The 23,274-nt window shown below is 41.4% G+C and overlaps 1 protein-coding gene across 31 annotated transcripts in view, besides 5 other annotated features; it reads right to left on the reverse strand.

Moving 5' to 3' along the window:
• The window catches only part of IGF2BP2 (insulin like growth factor 2 mRNA binding protein 2), a 181,913-nt gene that overhangs the window by 149,675 nt on the left and 8,964 nt on the right, over positions 1–23,274 (reverse strand). The window lies entirely within an intron of this gene.
• Positions 2,493–5,777: an enhancer, noted in NCBI's record as "VISTA enhancer hs1976". NCBI's record gives its function as "enhancer in: pancreas[3/5]" and the evidence as "EXISTENCE:transgenic organism evidence [ECO:0001131][PMID:17130149]".
• Positions 6,165–6,666: an enhancer, noted in NCBI's record as "H3K4me1 hESC enhancer chr3:185516757-185517258 (GRCh37/hg19 assembly coordinates)". NCBI's record gives its function as "activates a minimal SCP1, AML or CMV promoter by ChIP-STARR-seq in naive H9 embryonic stem cells {active_cell/tissue: H9 hESC(naive)}" and the evidence as "EXISTENCE:reporter gene assay evidence [ECO:0000049][PMID:30033119]".
• Positions 6,667–7,166: an enhancer, noted in NCBI's record as "H3K4me1 hESC enhancer chr3:185517259-185517758 (GRCh37/hg19 assembly coordinates)". NCBI's record gives its function as "activates a minimal SCP1, AML or CMV promoter by ChIP-STARR-seq in naive H9 embryonic stem cells {active_cell/tissue: H9 hESC(naive)}" and the evidence as "EXISTENCE:reporter gene assay evidence [ECO:0000049][PMID:30033119]".
• Positions 9,804–10,305: an enhancer, noted in NCBI's record as "NANOG hESC enhancer chr3:185520396-185520897 (GRCh37/hg19 assembly coordinates)". NCBI's record gives its function as "activates a minimal SCP1, AML or CMV promoter by ChIP-STARR-seq in naive and primed H9 embryonic stem cells {active_cell/tissue: H9 hESC(naive and primed)}" and the evidence as "EXISTENCE:reporter gene assay evidence [ECO:0000049][PMID:30033119]".
• Positions 14,762–15,304: an enhancer, noted in NCBI's record as "OCT4-NANOG hESC enhancer chr3:185525354-185525896 (GRCh37/hg19 assembly coordinates)". NCBI's record gives its function as "activates a minimal SCP1, AML or CMV promoter by ChIP-STARR-seq in naive H9 embryonic stem cells {active_cell/tissue: H9 hESC(naive)}" and the evidence as "EXISTENCE:reporter gene assay evidence [ECO:0000049][PMID:30033119]".

A 23,274-nucleotide genomic window follows, 5' to 3' on the forward strand; every position in this document is an offset into this window, starting at 1 on the left:
AATATTTGGTCATATCATCATCATTCCCCAAAGGTACCACAGAGAGACCTGCGAAGAACTAGTAGCACTGGACTCCCATGACAGTTCCCACACCACACAAGACCCTCTCATGAGCAGCCCACAGCTCTTCCTCCTCTATCTCAGCCAGAATATTCTACTGCCTTAGCACACAAGGGCACACAAGAGGCACTCAACACTTTGCTCATGGTGATCACAAACACGGCTCAACATCTTCAAACTATTCAGATCTCAGCACATTACAGGGGTGGTTACAAATGTGGTTGGCTACTGATTCTATTCTAGTCTTCTGGAATTATCTTACTGCGCAATTATATGGCTTCCTACATTAAGGAGTGTTTGCAGTCCAGCACACTCTGCAGGGGAAAAAAGGTGTGGTGTGGCAGAAAGAACACAAGTTTTGCAGTTAAGATAGTTGTTAAATTCAGATCCAAGGTTTGTCACCTTTCTCGCTGGTGGCCTTGGGAGAGTGGCAATCTGAACCTCAGTCTCCTCTTCTGAGGAATAAGGCTGCCACACAGGGATGTTGGGAGATCAGTGATAGCCCACATAAAGCACCTAGCCCAGTAAAATGGTCTCTACTTTTCACGCCAAGCTGCCTATACCTCCTCTCACCCAACATATCCACATGCTGACCACAATGGCACTGTGCGTTTCAACCTGACAGTCTGTGTGTGTGTGTAACAAAAGCAAAACTCTGCTAACATGAGCCTACATGAAACCTCAGGGGACAGATTAACTTGGTACCAAATTACACGCTCCAAACCAAAAAGAAACAACTTTGATATAATTGACACATCAGCCTAGGTAAGAGAGACTCTTTTCTATGGGTTGCTGAAAACAAGGAAAACTTGAGAGGAACAGTTACGGCCCATCCTGAGGCAGTAAGAAACTGATTTCTTCTGATAACACAACTGCTCAGTCTAAAGCACTGAGAGAAACAGCCCTGTCTCTGGGCCTGGTGTCAAAGCAGGTTTGGAACCCTGGAATTCCAAGATTCCCAGTCTTGGAATCTAACAGCTCTATGGAGTTTTGGCCCTGCCTGGGGAGCAGTAAGGTAGGATGGACAGTAGATTGAAGATACTGATTGTGTTTGCAAACATGCCCCAGATAAGGAATGGTCAAAGCAGATTCCTTTTTTTTTTTTTTTTTTTGAGACGGAGTCTTGCTCTGTCGCCCAGGCTAGAGTGCAGTGGTACAAACAAACTCACTGCAGTCTCAACCTCCTGGGCTCAAGCAATCCTCCCGCCTCAGCCTCTCAAGCAGCTGAGACTACAGGTGCATGCCACCACACCTGGCTAATTTTTTTTATATGTATATTTTGGGAGAGGTAGAGTCTCACTACATTGCCAAGGCTGGTCTCAAACTCCTGAGCTCAAGCAATCCTCCCAGCTTGGCCTCCCAAAGTGCTAGGATTACAGGTGTGAGCCACCACACCTGGCCCAGAGCAGATCCTAGAGACCCGGGCTGCCCTCATATCACAGGTGTGTCTGGCTCCTTATCCTCACACAGGCAGTTGTTCCTAAATATTTCTTTGCTAAGGACTTAATCATAGACTCACAGAATTCTAGAACAGACAGGAAGGTTGAGTATCAACTAACTTACATCCTCGCATTACTGATGAGAAAACTAACAGCCCAATGGGGGATCACAGAGCTGGTTAATGACAGAACCAGATGAGATAGGACTCAGGCCAGTATTCCTTACCCTAGACTTTACCATCTCATTCAAGTGTCCATGCACATCCAGAGTTCCCTTCCCAACAGTGCTTCTTTTTAAGCCTTTCAAAACATTGGCTTTATTTGGAGGTCACATCTTTTTTTTTCATTGTGATAAAAAAAAAACCCATAAAATTTACTATTTTAACAATTTTCAGGTAAACAGCTCAGTGGTGGTAAGTACATTCATGCCATTGTGTAACCATCACCACCATCCATCTCCAGAACTTCTTTCATCTTGCCAAACTGAAACTCTGTTCCCATAAAACAGAAACTCCCCATCCTCCCCCTTCTCTAGCCCCTGGCAACTACCATTTTACTTTCTGTTTCTATGAATTAGACTACTCCAGTTATCTTTTCTTTTCTTTTTTTTTTGAGGCGGAGTCTCACTCTGTCGCCCAGGCTGGAGTGCAGTGGCGCTCTCTCTGCTCACTGCAAGCTCCACCTCCCGGGTTCATGCCATTCTCTTGCCTCAGCCTCCTGACTTGCTGGAACTACAGGCGCCCACCACCTCGCCCGGCTACTTTTTTGTATTTTTAGTAGAGACGAGGTTTCACCATGTTAGCCAGGATGGTCTCGATCTCCTGACCTCGTGATCCACCCACCTCGGCCTCCCAAAGTGCTGGGATTACAGGCATGAGCCACCACGCCCAGCCTCCAGTTATCTTCTATAAGTGGGATCATATAGTGCTTATCCTCTTGTGACTTATTTCATTAGCAAAATGTCTTCATGGCTCATCCATGTGGTAACATGTGTCAAAATTCCCTTCTCCCTTAAGGCTGAAAATATTCCACTGTATGTCCATACCACATTTGTTTCTCCAGGCACCTGGCAATGGACACTCGGGCCACTTCCACATGTTGACCAATGCAAACAATACTGCTTTAACATGGGTGTACAAATATCTGTTCTAGTCCCTGCTTTCAATTCTTTTGGGCACACACCTGGCAGTGAAATTGCTGGATCTCACAATGTATCAGTGCTATTTTCAAATGTGTCTTGAAAGAGACAAAGAGGAGACAAAATCATCTGGGTTGGTGAATTCTTTAAGAAAATGAAGCCAGAAGCAGTGGGTCAGTCTGTAATCCCAGCAATTTGGGAGGCCAAAGCATGTGGATCACCTGAGGTCAGGAGTTCGAGACCAGCCTGACCAATATGGTGAAACCCTGTATCTACTAAAAATACAAAAATTAGCTGGGTGTGGTGGCGCAGTCCCAGCCTGTAGTCCCAACTACTAGGGAGGCTGAGACAGGAGAACTGCATGAACCCAGCAGGTGGAGGGTGCAGTGAGATGAGACCACACCACTACACTCCAGGCTGGGCAACAGAGAGAGACTCTGTCTCAAAAAAAAGAAAAGAAAAAAGAAAATGAAAAATACTGTTTTGTTCTTAAACTTAGCTTTACTTCAACACAACAAACTATATGAAAAAATTTTTAGAGATTGTATGATGTAGAGGAAAAAACACAGCACTGAGGAGGATAACTTTCTAGTAATATCCAACATTAACACAGGACATACTTTTTGATGTCCGAGTATGAATTTCCACAGGCAGGGGAGAGTGGAATAGATAATCCCTAAGGTCTATGGATTCTGTGGGTTCCATGAAAAAACTTATTTAAAGGATTACTATGTCTTTTAATCATTTTTTCTTTTCCTTAGATCCAGTTTGCATATTAGAACTTAACCATTTCTGGCTATAGAATCTAGTGTATTCTTGAAATAAGAGCTCCAGGGATAGGCGGGGCATGGTGGCTCACGCCTGTAATCCCAGTACTTTGGGAGGACGAGGAGGGCGGATCACTTGAGGTCAGGAGTTTGAGACCAGCCTGGCAAACATGGTGAAACCCTGTCTCCACTGAAAATACAAAAATTAGCTGGTCATGGTGGCATACGCCTGTAATCCCAGCTACTCAGGGGCCTGAGGTAGGAGAATCACTTGAACTCCCGAGAGGCAGAGGTTGTAGTGAGCAGAGATCACACCACTGCACTCCAGCCTGGGTGACAGAGTGACATTCCGTCTCAAAAAAAAAAAAAAAAAAAAAATTCCAGGGACAAGAACAATTCCTGAGCTAGGAAAAAAAAAAAAAAAAAGAGAGAGAGACTAAGGTAATACAATAGACAACAATTTTCCTACCAGCACATTTATTTGTTAATTGCTTTAGGATGTCCAGAGTGTAGTACCTGTATACTCTGAGTCACGGTTTACTCTGAGTCACTGTGAACTTCTGTTTACTTTGTAGTAGTCACTATAAAACTATCAATGCACACTGGGCTCAGTATCAACAGGGCATACCTGCCAAGAAAATTTTGCTACAATAGTTTGGTTCAAACAATCTTTCAGTTACTGAGCAACATACCGTTGTCATCAAGATTCCTGACAATGCATTCTGAGTCAAAATGCACATCAGATTCCAGGTACGAAACCAACAACACACTCCAAACCCCATCCACTCTCAGGCCTCCCAGGAAGATCTGCAAAGTGAGAAACGCACTGCCCCACCCTGTTTCTCCCCACTTCCCCAGAACTATTTCTGCTTAGGTATCTACCAAAAGCAGGCTTTCTACTCCAGGGACAAGAAGGATAAGAGACAGAATTCTCTATGTTCACTTCACCAATCAATTATTTCAACTACTTATAAAAAGCTTCCTATGCTGGGTACAATGATACACATGAACCTACTCAGCCCTTACAATTCTTCCAGGTAGGTGTGTTTGTGCTCACAATGTAGGAAAGTGAGGTGGACGCTCAGGAGTGTCCTATCCAGAGCCACACAAGCAGTAAGGAGTACAGCTAGGCTGGACCAGGTCTTCTGATCCCATGTCCGGTACTCTTTTGGCCATATCATTTGTTTACACTCTTACAAGCCTATGCTAATTTGGACACCCCAAAGAGAACATCTGAAGATCCTCTCCTAGAAAGCAGGACTAATGATCTAACAACTAATGCCTGGTTTTTCAGTTAAGAGCAGAGTTTGCTGGCTTCACTCTTTCACCTTTATTTCAGCTGACAGGCAGAGCTTTGAAGAAACTCAAGGAGAAACTGTGCATCAGTCCCTTCACTTAAAAATGCTTTTCACAGGCCAGGAGCAGTGGCTCATGCCTGTAATCCCAGCACTGTGGGAGGCCAATGCAGGCGGATCAGCTGGGCCCAGGAGTTCGAGACCAGCCTGGCAACATGGCAAAACTCTCTCTCTACAAAAAAAACAAAAAAATTAGCCAAGCGTGGAGGTGCATGCCTGTAGTCCTAGCTACTGAGGAGGCTGAGGTGGGAGAACCACGTGAGCCTGGCGAGGTCAAGGCTCCGGTAAGCCAAGATCACTCCAGCCTGAGTGACAGAGTGAGACCCTGTCTCTTAAAAAAAAAAAAAAAAAAAAAAAGCCGGGCGTGGTGGCTCATGCCTGTAATCTCAACACTTTGGGAGGCCGAGGCAGGTGGATCACCTGAGGTCAGGAGTTCGAGACCAGCCTGGCCAACATGGTGAAATCCCATCTCTATTAAGAATATAAAATTAGCCAGGGGTGGTGGTGCCCACCTGTAATCCCAGCTACTCATGAGGTTGAGGCAAGAGAATCGCTTGAACCCAGGACATGGATGTTGCAGTGAGCTGAGATTGCGCCACTGCACTCCTGGGCAGAAGAGCAAGACTCTGCCTCAAGAGAAAAAAAAATTGCTTTTCAGGGAAAAACACGCCCACATTCTCACCACCTCCAATAATGACAGACAGTGACTGGGCCCCGGTGTTTTATTCACCTCCAGGTTTACTCCCAGGAAATCTACAGTGGAAAAAGGCATCCACTAAAGACTTCCTTCAACATTTTTAGAGACTTAGGCTATCCAGATCTTTCCTCTCCAAATTCTACGAGTACAAATAGTGTTAATATTTATTACATAATAGATTCAGGAAACTGTGTTTCTATGACCACATGAATTTTTCTTACACAACATTCATGCCAATTTTATTGGACTTGGAGTATATTATTTTAAATGACTATGGAGGTTTGTAATTATTGTATTGTTGATTTTATGACACATTATTGGTCCCATTCATGATTTATTTGATGCCAAGGCCTTGATCAGGACGTTAACACCCAAATATAACATTTTTCCTGTGGGAAAACACCATTTGCTTTAAAACACCTGCTTTTACGAGGGAGTTTTTTATTAATGCAACATCATAAGAAGCAGACAGTACCTGTTCAAGAAAACCCTGAGTAAGCAAAATATAACTAAGTTTTTCTTTTTTCTTTTTTTCTTTTTTTTTTTTGAGACAGAATCTTACTCTGTCATCCAGGCTGGATGGAATGCAGTGGTGCGGTCTTGGCTCCCAGGCTCAAGCAACCCTCCCACCTTAGCCTTACAAGTAGCTGAGACTACAGGCACACACCACCACGCCTGGCTAATTCTTGTATTTTTTGTAGCAACGGGTTTCACCATGTTGTCCAGGCTGGTCTCGAATTCCTAGGCTCAAGTGATCTTCCCGCCTCAGCCTCCCAAAGTGCTGAGATTACAGGCGTGAGCCACTGTGCCTGGCTCTAAGTTTTTCTTTACTCAACATTTAGGAGAAAGAAGCTGCAGGCCGGGCACAGTGGCTCACGCCTGTAATCTCAACATATTGGGAGGTCAAGTCAGGCAGATCACTTGAGCCCAGGAGTATGAGACCAGCCCAGGTAAAATAGCAAAACCCCATATCTACAAAAACAAAAATAAGCCAAGGTGTGGTGTCATGTGCCTGTAGTCGCAGCTACTTGGGAAGCTAAGGTGGGAGAATCGCTTGAGCCCAGAAGGCGGAGGCTGCAGTGAGCAGCTCCACTGCACCACTGCCTTCCATCCCTGGGCAACAGAGCAAGACTGTCACAGAGACAAAACCACAATGACATACCATCTCACGCCAGTTAGAATGGTGATCATTAAAAAGTCAGGAAATGCCAGGCACGGTGGCTCACGCCTGTAATCCCAGCACTTTGGGAGGCCGAGGCGGGCGGATCACGAGGTCAGGAGACCGAGACCATCCTGGCTAACACGGTGAAACCCCGTCTCTACTAAAAAAATACAAAAAAAATTAGCTGGGCGTGGTGGCGGGTGACTGTAGTCCCAGCTACTCGGGAGGCTGAGGCAGGAGAATTGCTTGAACCCAGGAGGCAGAGCTTGCAGTGAGCTGAGATTGCACAACTGCACTCCAGCCTGGGAGACAGAGCGAGACTCCGTCTCAAAAAAAAAAAAAAAGTCAGGAAACAACAGATGCTGGAGAGGATGTGGAGAAATAGGAACACTTTTACACTGTTGGTGGGAGTGTAAATTAGTTCAACCATTGTGGAAGACAGTGTAGCAATTCCTCAAGGATCTAGAACTAGAAATGCCATTTGACCCAGCAATCCCATTACTGGGTATATACCCAAAGGATTATAAATCATGCTACTATAAAGGCACATGCACACGTATCTTTACTGTGGCACTATTCACAATAGCAAAGACTTGGAACCAACCCAAATGTCCATCAATGATAGACTGGATTAAGAAAATGTGGCACATATACACCATGGAATACTATGCAACCATAAAAAGAATGAGTCCATGTCCTTTGCAGGGACATGGATGAAGCTGGAAACCATCACTCTCAGTAAACTATCACTAGGAGAGAAAACCAAACACTGCATGTTCTCACTCATAGGTGGGAAATGAACAATGAGAACACTTGGACACAAAGCGGGGAACGTCATAGACCGGGGCCTGTCGGAGAGTGGGGGACTGGGGGAGGTATAGCATTAGGAGAAACACCTAATGTAAATGACAAGTTGATGGGTTCAGCAAACCAACATATGGCACATGTATACCCATGTAACAAACCTGCACATTGTGCACATGTACCCTAGAAGTATAATAATAAAATACAATAATAAAAATAAAAAAAAGTACTTGCTGATGTCGTGGCTCACACCTGTAATCCCTGCACTTTGCAAGGCTGAGGCAAGGATCATTTGAGGTCAGGAGTTCAAGACCAGCCTGGCCAATATGGTGAAATCCCATCTTTACCAAAAATACAAAACTTGGCCAGGCATAGTGGCACATGCCTATAATCCCAGCTACTCAGGAGGTTGAGGCCAGAGAATCACTTGAACCCAGGAGGCGGAGGTTGCAGTGAGCTGAGAAGTTGCCACTTGGTGACTGAGCCAAAAAAAAAGAAAGAAAGAAAGAAAGAAAGTACTTGCTGAATACCTGGGAGTAAATGATAAAAGAAATCTGGAAGGTAGGACATAGGCATGTGCAAAGATTTCATGACTAAAACACCAAAAGCAATCGTAACAAAAGCCAAATTTGACAAATGGGATCTAATTAAAGAGCTTCTGCACAGCAAAGGAAACGATCATCAGAGTGAACAGGCAATCTACAGAATGGGAGAAAAATTTTGCAATCTAACCACCTGACAAAGGTCTAATATCCAGAATCTACAAGGAACTTAAACAAACTTATAAGAAAAAAAAACAACTCCATAAAAGAGTGGGTGAAGGATATGAACAGACACTTCTCAAAAGAAGACATTCATGCAGCCAACAAACATATGAAAAAAAGCTCATCATCACGGGTCATTAAAGAAATGCAAATCAAAACCACAATGAGATACCATATCAAGGCAGTTAGAATAGCGATTATTAAAAAGTCAGGAAACAGCTGGGCACGGTGGCTCACGCCAGTAATCCCAGCACTTTGGGAGGCCGAGGCAGGTGGATCACTTGAGGTCAGGAGTTCAAGACCAGCCTAACCAACATGGAGAAACCCCGTCTCTACTAAAAATACAAAATTAGCCAGGCGTGGTGGCACATGCCTGTAATCCCAGCTACTCAGGAGGCTGAGGCAGGAGAATTGCTTGAACCCAGGAGGCGGAGGTTGTGGTGAGCCGAGATGGCGTCATTGCACCCCAGCCTGGGCAACAAGAGCAAAACTCCATCTCAAAAAAAAAAAAAAAAAAAAAGTCAGGAAACAACAGATGCTGGCGAGGCTGTGGAGAAATAGGAACACTTTTACGCTGTTGGGAGTGCAAATTAGTTCAACTATTGTGGAAGACAGTGTGGCAATGCCTCAAGGATCTAGAACCAGAAATACCATTTGACCCAGCAATCCCATTACTGAGTGTATACCCAAAGGATTATAAATCATGCTACTATAAACACATGCACACTTATGTTTACTGCAGCACTATTTACAACAGCAAAGACTTGGAACCAACCCAAATGCCCATCAATGATAGACTGGATAAAGAAAATGTGGCACACATACAGCATGGAATACTATGTAGCCATAAAAAGAGTGAGTTCATATCCTTTGCAGGGACATGGATGAAGCTGGAAGCCATCATTCTCGGCAAACTAACACAGGACCAGAAAACCAAACACCACCTGTTCTCACTCATAAGTGGGAGTTGAATGAGAACACGTGGACACAGGGAGGGGACCATCACACACCAGGGCCTGTCAAGCAGTAGGGGGCAAGGGGAGGGAGAGCATTAAGACAAATACCTAATCCATGTGGGGATTAAAACCTAGATGACGGGTTGATAGGTGCAGCAAACCACCATGGCACATGTATACCTATGTAACAAACCTGCATGTTCTGCACATGTATCCCAGAACTTAAAATTAGAAAAAAAAAAGAAATCTGGAAGGTAAACCTAATGCATCCCAGAGGAGCACACAGGTAGAGAGGTTCTGATCACTAGTCCTTTGCTAAGTAGCATCCTCATTCCAGCTTAACACATGAAGTGTTCTTGACTAACCAAGACATGTTCTTGACTAATTACGGTAATACCTAAGGCTGGTGTTGGAATGGTAAGGTGGAAAAGAAGCAGTTTGCCCAAGGTTTCTTTCTGCAAATTTGGAAATAACAGAAGATTCCTCAGAGCCGAGTTCATGAATGCAGGGACAGAGGGTTGGCCTCTTCTGTAACCTGTACTCTAGCTCCACTCTGGCTAATGCATCGTAGTGGGTGCTGAAGTCATGCTCTTCCAAGTTGAAATAATTTGTTGAATTCATTACTGGGTCTTGAGAACATTTTTTAAATTATTCACACATAATTTAGCATTCAGCAATTAATACAGCTGAGGAAACTGAGAGCTGGTAGGCAGTTAATTTCAAAACCCAATGCAGCATTACCAACTAGGTATAAAATTTCTCTTACACACCCACCAGCCAGCCAAAGCACCATCAAGAAAGTTTAGGTCTCTAAAAACCCTTGAGAGAGAAAATATTCAGAAGAAAAAGCTTTTCTCAAGATGAGAACATCCACAAACACTTTCCTGTTGTTAGAAAGACTTAAATAAATGCAGAAGTGCTGAGAGTAGCCTTTGGAGTGCTAATGTAGCAGGGGTAAGCCACCCGCCCGGCCAGTTATCCTATTTCTGACAAATGTAGTTTGCTAGACTCAATCTCAGAGGTTACCCACAGCACTTCTTTTTAAACTAAAATGTATCTCAATTTTATTTTTAGAGGGCTGAATGAAATGTCAAGTGATCAAACATTAAAATAGCCCCAAATCAGGCTGGGCGTGGTGGCTCACGCCTGTAATCCCAGCACTTTGAGGCCTAGGCAGGTGGATTGCTTGAGGTCAGGAGTTCAAGACCAGCCTAGCTAACATGGTGAAACCCTGTCTCTAATAAAAATACAAAAAGTAGCCGGGTGTGGTGGCAGGTGCCTGTAATACCAGCTACTTAGGAGGCTGAGGCAGGATAATCACTTGAACCTGGGAGGCAGAGGTTGCAGTGAGCCGAGATCATGCTACTGCACTCCAGTCTGGACAGCAGAGCAAGACTCCATCTCAAAAAAATAAACAAAATAAAATAGCCCTAAATTACAGTATTACTGGTTACTGGATTCTTCCTGGTAAATATTTCCCAAATAAAAGTACTGAAAAAAGAAGTATTTCCATTTTCTTTAATTGTAAGTATTCTGATCAAAGTTATTTTCACTTTCTGTTGATTAAAGAATACTGTATTGCCATGATTTAAATTAAACGTTTTTGAATGGATGGATTTTTTAACCACTTTCTGTCACATGAAAGTAATTAAGACATCATCCTAACTTCTTCTAGCATAGGGTGGCACCCAGATATTTGTGTCTCAATGGCACCAGAAACCTAAAATGAATCAAGATTGTAGTTCACTGAATAGTGAAATATTATTAATTCTAATTGTAATAGGACAGAACTGAAATTAATCTTTCCTTTAAAGGGGGGTAGGGGTACTCATTCAACAAAGGAATCAATATAAACAAGATCATAAAAGGGAAATAAGCTATTTAAACACATTTCAGGCTGGACGCAGTGGCTCATGCCTGTAATCCCAGCACTTTAGGAGGCCGAGGCGGGTGGATCACCTGAGGTCAGGAGTTTGAGACCAGCCTGGCCAACATGGTGAAACCCTATCTCTACTAAAAGTACAAAAATTGGCCAGGTGCAGCGGCTCACGCCTATAATCCCAGCACTTTGGGAGGCTGAGGCGGGTGGATCACGAGGTCAGGAGCTCAAGACCAGCCTGGCTGAGATGGTGAAACCCCGTGTCTACTAAAAATACAAAAATTAGCCAGGCGTGGTGGCATGTGCCTGTAATCCCAGCTACTCGGGAGACTGAGGCAGAGAATCACTTGAACCCAGGAGGCAGAGGTTGCGGTGAGCCGAGATGGCGCCATTGTACTCCAGCCTGGACAACAGAGCAAGACTACGTCTCAAAAAAAAAAAAAAAAAAATACAAAAATTAGCCAGGTGTGGTGGTGCACGCCTGTAATCCCAGCTACTCGGGAGGCTGAGGCAGGAGAATTGCTTGAACCCGGGAGGCAGAGGTTGCAGTGAGCTGAGATCGCGCCACTGCACTCCAGCCTAGGCGACAAGAGCGAGACTTTGTCTCAAACAAAAAAAAAACAAAAAAACACAGATTTCAGAAGTATTGATATATAACTGATAAGCTGAATATAAGTCATTTTTTCTATTCAATGAGAAGGTCCAGTAGGATTGTTTTTTAGTAACATTTTGTTAGTTTCCTCAGGTTACAATATTTAATTGAAAACAATATAAATTTTTTAAAATCTGCCCATTCAGGCATTCTACTAATTATCACTGCTCTTCCCTTTACCGCAACTAGCTTGAATCAATGAGGCCTCAATGTATTTAATTACAATCATAGGCCAGGCACGGTGGCTCACGCCTGTAATCCCAGCACTTTGGGAGGCGGAGGTGGGCGGATCATGAGGTCAGGACATCGAGACCATCCTGGCTAACACAGTGAAACCCCGTCTCTACCAAAAATATAAAAAAAAATTAGCTGGGAGTGGGTGGCGGGTGCCTGTAGTCCCAGCTACTCGGGAGGCTGAGGCAGGAGAATGGCGCAAACCAGGGAGGCGGAGCTTGCAGTGAGCCAAGATGGCGCCACTGCACTCCAGCCTGGGTGACAGAGCAAGACTCCGTCTCAAAAAAAAAAAAAAAAATTACAGTCATAACCTCAGGCCACGAACTGAACAACATCCACCAATGTGATGGAAAATGCTCAACCATTTTCATTCCACTTTACGTAGATCCTAGGCTCTTAGGCACACACAGTGAATGTCTGAGGTTCAAGTATCAATTGTACTGGCCCAGAAGTATTTCTGAAAATCCAGTAAACACAGGTTTTACTGGATTTCTGAAAATCCAGTAAACCAAAGGCTGACAACCATACAACTAGAGTTAGCACATATCCAGGGACCCTCAGAGGAGTGTGGTGCTAACTTGAGCTGTGGAAAGACTCTGTGATGAGCTTTTGTAGGTAGAGAGACCTATGAGGCTTTCTCAGGAGGGCTGGGAAAGACTGCCTGGTTACCAAGTAAGAAATGTTCTCTTTTTACCCCAAATGGTGCTGTTCTTGACTTCAAAAACAAATCAAATGAAGGGCAAATTAAGGAGGAATAATCAAGACTGTGTGAGACCTGAACCGGTCACTGGAGGTGGTTTGGCCCACGATAAGGCTTCTGATTTTCCCTGCTCCCTTTCCCCAAGGCCGAGATTATACAAAGAAAAAAAGTTGTTGAGGAAAACTGAGAAAAAAATACATTTCTTTGGGTGCATATCCACAGGCAGCCAAAATATTTTAAAAACCAACAAGGACATAGAGTTATAGATCACATTTGATCCTCTGTGCTCACGGAATTCCCTGTTCAGGCTCACTTTTAACCTCTTAACTCGGGAAGATTACAAAAATGTGAAGTAAATCTTTTTTTTTTTTTTTTTTGAGACGGAGCTTCACTCTTGTCACCCAGGCTGGAGTGCAGTGGCGTGATCTCGGCTCACTGCAGTGTCCGCCTCCTGGTTCAACTGATTCTCCTGCCTCAGCCTCCCAAGTAGCTGGGATTACAGGTGCCCACCACCCCCCACCCCCAGCTAATTTTTGTATTTTTAGTACAGACAGGGTTTCACCATGTTGGCCAGGCTGGTCTCAAATGCCTGATCTCAGGTGATCCACCCGCCTCAGCCTGATCTCAGGTGATCCACCCGCCTCAGCCTCCCAGAGTGCTGGGATTACAGGCATGAGCCACTGTGCCCGGCCAAATGTGAAGTAAATCTTAAACTCAGTCTGCCCACTGAAGACAGTCAGGGAGTTCTCTCTAAACTCCCTGAAGCAGAAAAAAAAAGTTTAACTATTATCATTTGACTGTTTTGTGAAAAAATATTTCAAGATTTTAAACTACAGAGAGGTCAGGAAGTCACTTAAGAGCACACAAAAGAGGTGGGAAAAAGATAACTTAGCATCTATTCTGGTTGACTAAAATATATAGACTATATAGAAAATTATATTTACCCGTAGTGTTTTTTAACTCATAAAAAAGCATCTATCTATCCTAAAGAGTAAGCACTCCTAAGGGACTCTAATATTTTCTAAGCCTCAGTCTACACATTCGAAAGGAAACAACCAAAATAACTTTTCACTTCACATAACTATCATGTTATCAGAACCTTTCAAAGAAAAGGTTACATGGGCTATGGGAATATGTAATGCAAATAAAGCAAGCACTGAGATTCAAAAAATTTAAAAACTTGACTATTATACACTATACTTGACTGAAGTCAAAACAATGTAGGACATTCTATAGGCAAAATTCAGAGGTTTGCCTAAGTTTGGCAAAATGCTCACACAGAATGAATCATTTAACATCAACATGGATATGCTTGACATCAAAAACAACACAAAACACTATCAAATTTCTTCAAGAAAAGAGTTTCAAGTACCATTATAAATATTTGCAATATTTTTCTAATATATAATAAAGGTAAGTGCAAAAGATCTGAGGGCCTGATGCGTTGTAGTTTTAGCAGGGGAGAGAACTGGACATATTTGATATCAATATGAACACTTATTTTGCCTAAGATTTACTCATATTTGGTATAGTAAATGGCGCATTTCTTAGAAAACCAATGATTTTAAAGAAGGATAAATTTATTTTCCTCTTGTAGATCATGGCTAACCACAGTATGGCACAATTCTGGAGCAATCGGACCTCACCCAGATACAAAAATAGCAAAAAGGACTTTTGCTGCTGGCAGAAAAGTAACAAACAACTTTATTGATACTAGAAGGGCAGTGTTTTAAAATTTTCAATTAGGCACTGAAAAAAATCAGGTTTCTGAGATAATACAGAAAGGGAACAATTAAACTGTATTTTATAAAAGGTGAAGTAATTGAATCACTCTTCAGGGGAAAGAAAGGTGAAGAAAAAGAAAAAAAACCTGAGGTTGAATGCTAAAAATGTGACCCCACCTAAAGCACTGAGAACAATTTAGGCCTTAGTTCTCTAATTTATGAAATGGGGATAACAGTATCTTCCTTCCTCATTCTACAAAATGTTGTGAAAATTCAGTAAGGATCATAAAAGAATTCAGTAATCAGTAATTATTACTACTGTTATAAGAAATTCCAGTTTTACTCCAAAAGAGGTTAATTATAAATGTAAGGGGATTATTACTTTTCAGTATATGCCCCAAATTAAGTATCGTTTCAATTTGTTGACTTTTCCTAATTATTAAAAACCAAGATGGCTCCCGAAGATTCTCATCTCCTGGTATTCAACTTATTGAGTAATCCTTTCCCATAGAGTATGGGCTGGACTTCATGTCTCATGTTTAATGAACAAAATAAGGCAGACTCAGTGACTGCATCATAAAAGAAAAGGTGATGTCACTCTCCTTGGCTTTCTTGTTTTATTCACTCTGGGGGAAGACTATTGTCATGCTGTGAAGAACTAAGGCCTCCAGCCAACAACCACATGAGTAAGCTTAGTAGCCAACCTTCCAGCCCCAGCTGAGCCATCGGATGACTGTAGCCACAGATGGCAGCTTGACTGCCATCTCCTGAAAGATGATGAGTCAGAACAATCCAGCTAAAGTGCTGACATTGTCCTGATCCTCAGGAAACATGTGAGATAATAAATGTTTTTGTTTTAATTAGCTGGGTGTAGTGGTGCATGCCTACAGTCCCAGCTATTCAGAAGGCTGAGGTAGGAGAATAGCTTGAGCCTGGGAGTTCGAGTCCAGCCTGGACAAGATGCCAAGACCTCGTTTCTTTTAAAAAAAAAAAAAAAAAAGAAAGAAAGAAAGAAAGAAACAAACAAACAAACAAAAATGTTTTAAATTGCTAATAGAGGCCGGGCATGGTGGCTCACACCTGTAATCCCAGGACTTTGGAAGGCCGAGGCGGGTGGATCACCTGAGGTCAGGAGTTCAAGACCAGCCTGCCAACATGGTGAAACACTGTCTCTACTAAAAATACAAAAAAAAAATTAGCTGAGTGTGGTGGCAGGCACCTGCAATCGCAGCTACCAGGGAGGCTGATGCAGGAGAACTGCTTGAACCTGGGAGGCAGAGGCTGTAGTGAGCCAACATCACACCATTGCACTCCAGCCTGGGCAACAAGAGCTAAACTCCGTCTCAAAAATACTAAATAATAATAATTTTAAAAATTAAATTGCTAATAGATTACTAACACAGAGCTTTTTTTAATTTTTACTTTTTTTCTTCTGAGACAGGGTCTCTCTCTCTCTCTCTATTACCCAGGCTGGAGTGCAGTGGTGCAATCTCAGCTCACTGCAATCTCTGCCTCCCAGGCTCAAGTGATTCTCATGCCTCAGCCTCCTAAGTAGCTGGGACCACAGGTGCATGCCACCACACCTGGCTATTTTTTTTTTTTTTATCATTTTAGTAGAGATGGGGTTTTGCCATGTTGGCCAGGCTGGTCTCAAATTCCTGGCCTCAAGCAATCCACCTGCCTCAGCCTCTCAAAGTGCTGGGATTACAGGCATGAGCCACCGCACCCAACCTAATAGAGAGCATTTGACAACATTCTGCTTTGCATTTAAAATTTAGTCAGTCACTTCCTTGGTTATATATGAATTACTTTGTCCATTGGTAGGTATTGTTAGACTTGTCTGGTTTTTTCACAGTAACTTTAGATGCTGTCTGCTTAATTTATTATAAACAAACATATCTTAAATCCGATTCTTGTATCCACCTATTATATTGCAATAAGCGAATAGCTAGTTGGGTTTTTTGTTTTTTGTTTTTCTTTTCTTTCTTTTTTTTTTCAAATAGGTTTTTCTTCTGTGATTCCCAGTAAATTTTTAATGGAATTTGACTTTCAGGGAGAAATACCTATAAGGAAAATTATATTTTCATGTAATCACACTGAATCTTATTCTAAAACTAACCCATTCTTACCTTATTTGTTAAAAAAAGAAAGAAAAGAAAGACTGATTTGCAAAACCTATTCTGGTTCCACCAACTCTAAAATTTTGCTTTCCAATGTTCATTTTGAAGCCCTGTGCAATTGTTCTTTGCAGCCAGCCTTATGAAGGTTTAAAGAACCTTCATACCTAAAATGCCCATGAAGAAATGTTATTCCACTAAGGCCAAAGATTCACTCGCAAGTTTTAAAAGGCTGGGTACAGTGGCTCATGCCTGTAGTCCCAGCGACTCAGGAGCCTGAGGTGGGAGGATCACCTGAGCACTGGAAGATGAGGCTGCAGTGAGCCATGATAGCATCATTGCACCCTAGCCTGGGTAACAGAGTGAGACCCCCTGTCAGAAAGAAAGGAAAGAAAGAAAAAAGAAAAAAAATTTTTTAATAAAGTAAAAAGTTTTAAAAACCCATTCACAAAAAAGCAAAATCTTTTAACCACAATTTTCCCCCTCCATTCTGAAAATACAGACGAAAAATAAGAGGAAAAGGGAAGAAGAAATAAAAGTAAATTTTTATTGATATTACAGCTTCAATCTTAATTTATCCAAAAATATTTCATGAACAGCCATTTCCACTATTCAAGGCACTCAAGGTGCACCTGTCCAAAGAAAAAACAAGACCCAGCTCTCATGGAACTTCAAATTTTTTAAATTCAAAAGACCAGTCCAGAAAATAGAGTTGGCTATTTTTGCAGAAGCGTTAAGATCCATCACAAATGAGGGGAGCCAAATATTAATAAAATCCTGAATTCCCAGGCTCCTGTGTGCCACTCTTCTATGCCCTACCATCTATGATTTGCTAACCTAAGTTTTCTAAGACATGCGCTTTACCTGACCATTATAAAGTGATTACTAATGAGTTATTTCATTCTGCATGTAAGTTACACATTTTTTTAAATGCTAATGCCAACTATCAGAGTAGTCTGAGGCTTTTTGTTTTGTTTTGTTTTGTTTTATAAAAAGGTCCCTTAGGCAACTCGAAGTTTCCTTTCGTTTAGCCTTAATGATTATTTTCTGCACCCAGGGAACAGAAGCAGAGTCCATATGGCCTTCAATTTCCTTAACTTAAATACAGAAAAGTGCAGCAGTAACCAAAACACTTTTCAAACTATTTAAAAGCACCACTTTTCACCACTATATTTTCCTATGGCACACTGTGTGCTTTTAAAACCATTTGCCTTATATCAGACATTTAACAGGCAGAATGGCCAGGTGCAATGGCTCATGCCTGTAATCCCAGCACTTTAGGGGGCCAAGGCAGGCAGATCACCTGAGGTCAGGAGTTCAAGATCAGCCTGGCCAACATGGCGAAACCCCATCTCTACTAAAAATACAAAAATTAGCCAAGCGTGGTGGCGGACACCTGTAAGCCCAGTTACTCAGGAGGCTGAGGCAGGAGAATTGCTTGAACCCAGGAGGCGGAGGTTGCAGTGAGCCAAGATCGTGCCACTGCACTCCAGCCTAGGCAACAGCGAGACTCTGTCTCAAAAAAAAAAACAACAAAAAACAAAAACTAAAAAACAAACAAAAAAAACAGAACTACTCAAGTTTTTACTTTACAACATGTTTTCTGGACATATGAGAATCAAATTTTCTTAGAAAGTGGCTTAAAACATTATCTATAGTTGGCTTAGTGTTTAATTGGAGAGGGTATAATTTAGATTGATGTGGAAACCTGCTCCTCCAATTATATGAAAATAGAGGCTTATTTTTTTCATAAACATGTATTATGAAATACTACATAAACTTATAGGACAGTCACATATTCAGCATATATATACATATTCTACATTTACAAAAGAATTTCAGATGGTTTGATATAACAGAAACACAATAAGATCATCACATAAAGATAAAAATGTAGGGTACTTTATAATGGAAAAAATAATTATTATTTTATTAATAGGTAAAATAATAACTGATGAAAAATGGCTACTGCAACTAAGACCTAATTTGATTTTGAGTTTCCAAACAGCTATCATCATTAGATAAGATCCATACGAGTTAATCCTGCCTATCAAGAAAAGGACTTTTCCCTCTCACTCATAGACAAGCCTATGTGTAAGGGATACTAAACATAAAGGACAGTGTCTTCAACAATGTTTTATAGAAGATACAGATTTTCATGTGGCAGAGACTGCAAACTGGCAACCCGTGGGCCAGATTCAACCCACAGCTGTCTTTTTTTGACCTTCAGTGTCCATAAAAAATTTTGAATTGTTGCCAATATTTAAAACTTCAGATATTTAACATAAGAACTCTGACTTCCACCTCCTCTTGAAAAATCAGATTTGGGAACACTGGCCCTACATTTCCAAATGGCAGCAGTTGGCTGGAGCTAACTAATAGCTGTCCCTCCTGCACTATCCAGAACACCCTTGCCACCACTTACATCATCTACCCCTGTAAACATACGGTGATCTCTTACAAAAATCTTACTACAAAAGTTGTGTGCAAAATACGAAACCATGGGTCTCTGAAGGCCAGTCTGTGGGAGGCTACAGTGATGGAGCACATGGCAGGGGACGGTGCTCAGAGTAGGGTGTCTCTCTCTCTCTCTCTCTCTCTCTCTCTCTCTCTCTCTCTCTCTCTCCCCCTCTCCCTGCCTGGGCATCAGAACCTCTCAGGGGATCTTTAACAACACGTAGCTAAATTCCAAGGACTTTCAGGACTTTCCAAGAGTCCTTGGCCATAGGGGAAGAAATCACTGAGAAAACAGTATTTTTACTGTTTTAAAGTAATATCCTGTTTTTGAACAAAAATCATGTATGTAGGACTGATACTGAGGGGGTGTGTATTAAAGTATCATGGCTTGTGACCTAGCACATTTGTTCGTTCTAACCAACTGAAAATGTTTTGAAGATCACTCCTGTGTTCGTGGAGCCCCACCTTACACAACAGATAAGAGGAGGGCTGCTCTGCCTCAAGAAGGATTAGCAAGCCAACCCTGCTTCCACCTCCTGAAGCAAAAACTTGTTTTCGATGAATGAATGGGTCCCGTGTCACCATGCCCATCACTCTTCAAAGGCAGTTGACTCTAATGGCTCTGCCAAGAGCCAGAGCGCAATCACTGGCCAAGGAGCTCCCTGGAAAGTTCCTGAAGGGCACGCATTCTATGTTGTTGACTATAGAAAAATCCATAGATTTAGTAGTCTGGCATGCAGCTGGCAAAGCAGATACTTGTTACCAAAATGAAAGTGACAGGAAATAGAGGGCTATTCCATGGAAAGCAGATGTAGGAGTAACAAGGGCAGGGTCTAAACTTTCCTCAAGAAAGGGCTTTGGGTCAAATCAAGGAATGAACTGAAGACTCAGAATTACACACTTTACACACTGTAGGGTGGGTGCTTACAAACTGTGTTTTAAAGCAGCAAACCCCTTTTCTAAACCAAATCTTAGACTCAACTCCAATTCTGTATATAAAACAGCAACAAATGCAGTTGTCTTCGTATTGGGCAGTGGGTAAGAAGCCAGGATTCCCATGTACGTACATCCATTCGTCCTTCCCATAAATTTGGCATCTCCTTGGAATCCTAAGGCTCTATGGAACAGTGTTTAATAAAAACTGCCATAGAGAATAAAAGATACAATGTTGGCCTAGAAATTTATAAGGCAGGTATTAACACCGTGACCACAATCGATACTTGTGAACTAAAGCCACTGATCAATTTCAATATCTAAATCATTTTCTTGAAACCATTATTGAAATAGACACAACATACCATTAATATGCAAATCAGTGAACAAAGAGCTAACTCTTCCCTGGCAACACTCTCGTGATGTAGAAATAATTATATTAGAACCAATCACCTGTTCCTGGGCCCTTTGTAACTCTTAAAATGCCTTTTCGACTTACCTACTTTACAAATCTAAATCTCTGTCTTCTTTAATTCAAATAATTGAGTAACCAGTACCTTTGTCATCTCAAATATTTTAAGAAGAAAAATATATAAACATTTTAAAAAATAATAAACAGCCAAAAATTTTAAATATTAAGCAACTAGTATCTTGTTCTCTATTCCTTAAAAGGGAGAATCAATTCCACATTTTTCAATATCTGAGCTTAAAATTTGGTTTCTCAGATCCTTGATTTCATCATCTTTAGTGGTGGCACAACTCAGGGAGTTTTACAAGGCTTAGTTTACAAATTCAGTGTCCATGACTTGAAGACATCACTATCAGCTCGAAAAGAAAGGGGTAAACAGTAGTACAGCTGGATCCAGGAGACAGGCCAGATTATTTATGTATCCACAACATTATTTTCTATCCGTCAATGGTTGAAAAACAAAAAATAAAGATGTTTTCCCTTTCCAAAGAATAAATACAACTGCACTTCAGGGGAAAAAAGTAACCCAAATTTTCAACCACTTACAAAAGCCTACAACGTTAGACCCCTACAACCATCGAAGCTCATGTGTCTGCTGCACATTCCAAGTAAGTGTATGCCACAGAACCCATACATTCCAACACATTGAGCAAGCACACACATGCCTCCCCAGCTTCCCCAACCCTCGGCCAACCAGGGGGCAATGGGGCTGCAGGCAGGCCTACACACCAGGCACCACACTGCCAGCCCTTTCCAGCCATCCCCAAGGAAATGCAAAGGAGAAGGAGAATGAGAGAGGAAGTGGCCGGTGTGAGGCCTTAGAGAAAGAAATGCAAAACCTTTTTTGGGGCAGGGCAACCACATACTCAGAGTTTTTAAGTGTCAAAGAAAAGAATATGTTGTGTGAGACTCCCAGTCCTGCTGTCACCGTTGGAATCACTTACTATCTTCCACACACTATCAGTGAGGACCAGTCTTTGCCACGTGCTCTGGAAGTATAGAAAGAAAATGCAGAAGATGTACACATGGTTTAGTCACCTACACTTCTATGGTCTCCTCCTTTCTCCTCTCCTCCCTCCCTTTCCCTCCTCCCTTCCTTCTTTCTTAATAATTTAAGAGGCTCAACTGCATTTTTTCAGTGTTAAACTGCTTTTATCATCTACCTCTGACTCTCTTAAATAAAGGGGCACAAAACATTGTACTTCAAAACCTTATTCATACAATGATAAAGAAAAACATCCACTGAAATTTCGAAGTATGCATTGTTAAAAATCACAAGGATCAGTAGGGACCAAAGTAAAAGGTCTCCATGTAATCCAAAAATACTATATAGCCTATCCTCACATGAGCTTTTTCAAAAACACCCTCTATTTAATGAATTGGTATGAGGTTAACCTGTCCAAAGAATCACCACTCGATTTTTTGTTTCATTTTTCAAAGAGAAAGAAAAGATATAGTAATAAAAATGTCTTTCCTGGTAATTTTTAAAGCTCTATTAGAGGTTCTTGACTGAGGAAAGTAATTATTTTATCTCATAAATTATATAAAATTATGTTCTTGTCAAAAAGCATGGCGTCTATCTAGAAGAAAACCTCTTATATATCTCATTTCATTGGTGGTTTAACTGTATCTTAAGTCCTATGTTACTAAACCAAAAAAGTAACAAAATGCATGAGATAAAAGTAACAAATGCATAAGATACTTAAGTATTGTATCAAAAAGTGCTTTCACTGACTTTTTCACGTGTCAAAGAGGTTTAAAATGTTCTGTTAATAAGGTGAACCATTTTCTAAAAAGCAATTTACAAAAATTCCATTATTTTCCTTCTCTAAGACACAGATATTTTTAAAAATACATATAAAAATGAAAGCATGCCAATCTTTGTGCAACATTCTGTATCCTAAACAAAAAAACCTCAAGTTTTTTTTCAGGATTTGAAAAAATATATATATCTGGGTCAAAGGCATGGAACAGGCCCTCCTCCCACACTGCATACATGTATGTTTTTTACACTTAACTGTCAACCACAATGATTTTTAAAAAAACCTCTTTCTCTTTATATAATTATAAATGCTTCTACTATAGGACTACTTCAAGGAAGTTCTTTCAAATTATGACTAACACTTTTAATTCTTTTCAATTATATTAAATTAAAAATATACTGAACTTGAGTTCCTAATCTTTCTCAGCATAGGTTTTATATATGGAAATTTTCTCTTATTCTAAGTTAGGAATAATATACAAAGTTACTTTATAGCCTGTATACATATTATCACAACTTTCTACTTCATTGCTAAGGTTCTGTTGCAGTATTCAAATGAGATGGACAACAAGCCACTGCCTTCTGAAGTTCTGGTCAGGAGCAAGGAGTTATTTTAGAGTCTGAAGCTTTAGAGCCCTTTGTGTAAGAAGGATAAAGACGGATCTCTTCAGGCTGTGGGGAGGATAAAACAGGAAGCCTAGTCCAGTGCCTAGCACGTAGCAGCCACCCAGTATTAGTTAACTCTCTTCCTCTCCCCCATCTCCTGAGTCAGAATTCCACGGAAAATGCCATATCCCACTCTGGACTGTACTAACTCAAAGAAATGCATGGGGAGTTGGAAATAACCTTCTTTCACCTATTTTTTTTTCCTTGATAATTCCTCTCTCCCTCCCACCAGCACCATAAACAGTCCATAAGAGTTAAAGGAAACGAAGATAAATGCAGGAAAAGTTTACAGTTGAGGGGAAATGAACTGTACTTCACATGCTTCATTATTTAGCATATTTTTTTGTGCGATTATAAAATTAATAAAGAACTCAGAACTTTATGGATACTATCCCTATTAACACTCACCCCATAGTCAAGACAGTATGAGAGGCCCAAGGCCTTATTCAGTACAGAAAGTGACGTAGAGAAAGATACCACCTCTGGGAAAGACCTGGCAGTTCCTACCAGGGAAACACGTAAACCACAACACAGCCCTG

Source organism: Homo sapiens, chromosome 3, assembly GCF_000001405.40.
Source record: "Homo sapiens chromosome 3, GRCh38.p14 Primary Assembly".
Classification (NCBI taxonomy): Eukaryota; Metazoa; Chordata; class Mammalia; order Primates; family Hominidae; genus Homo; species Homo sapiens.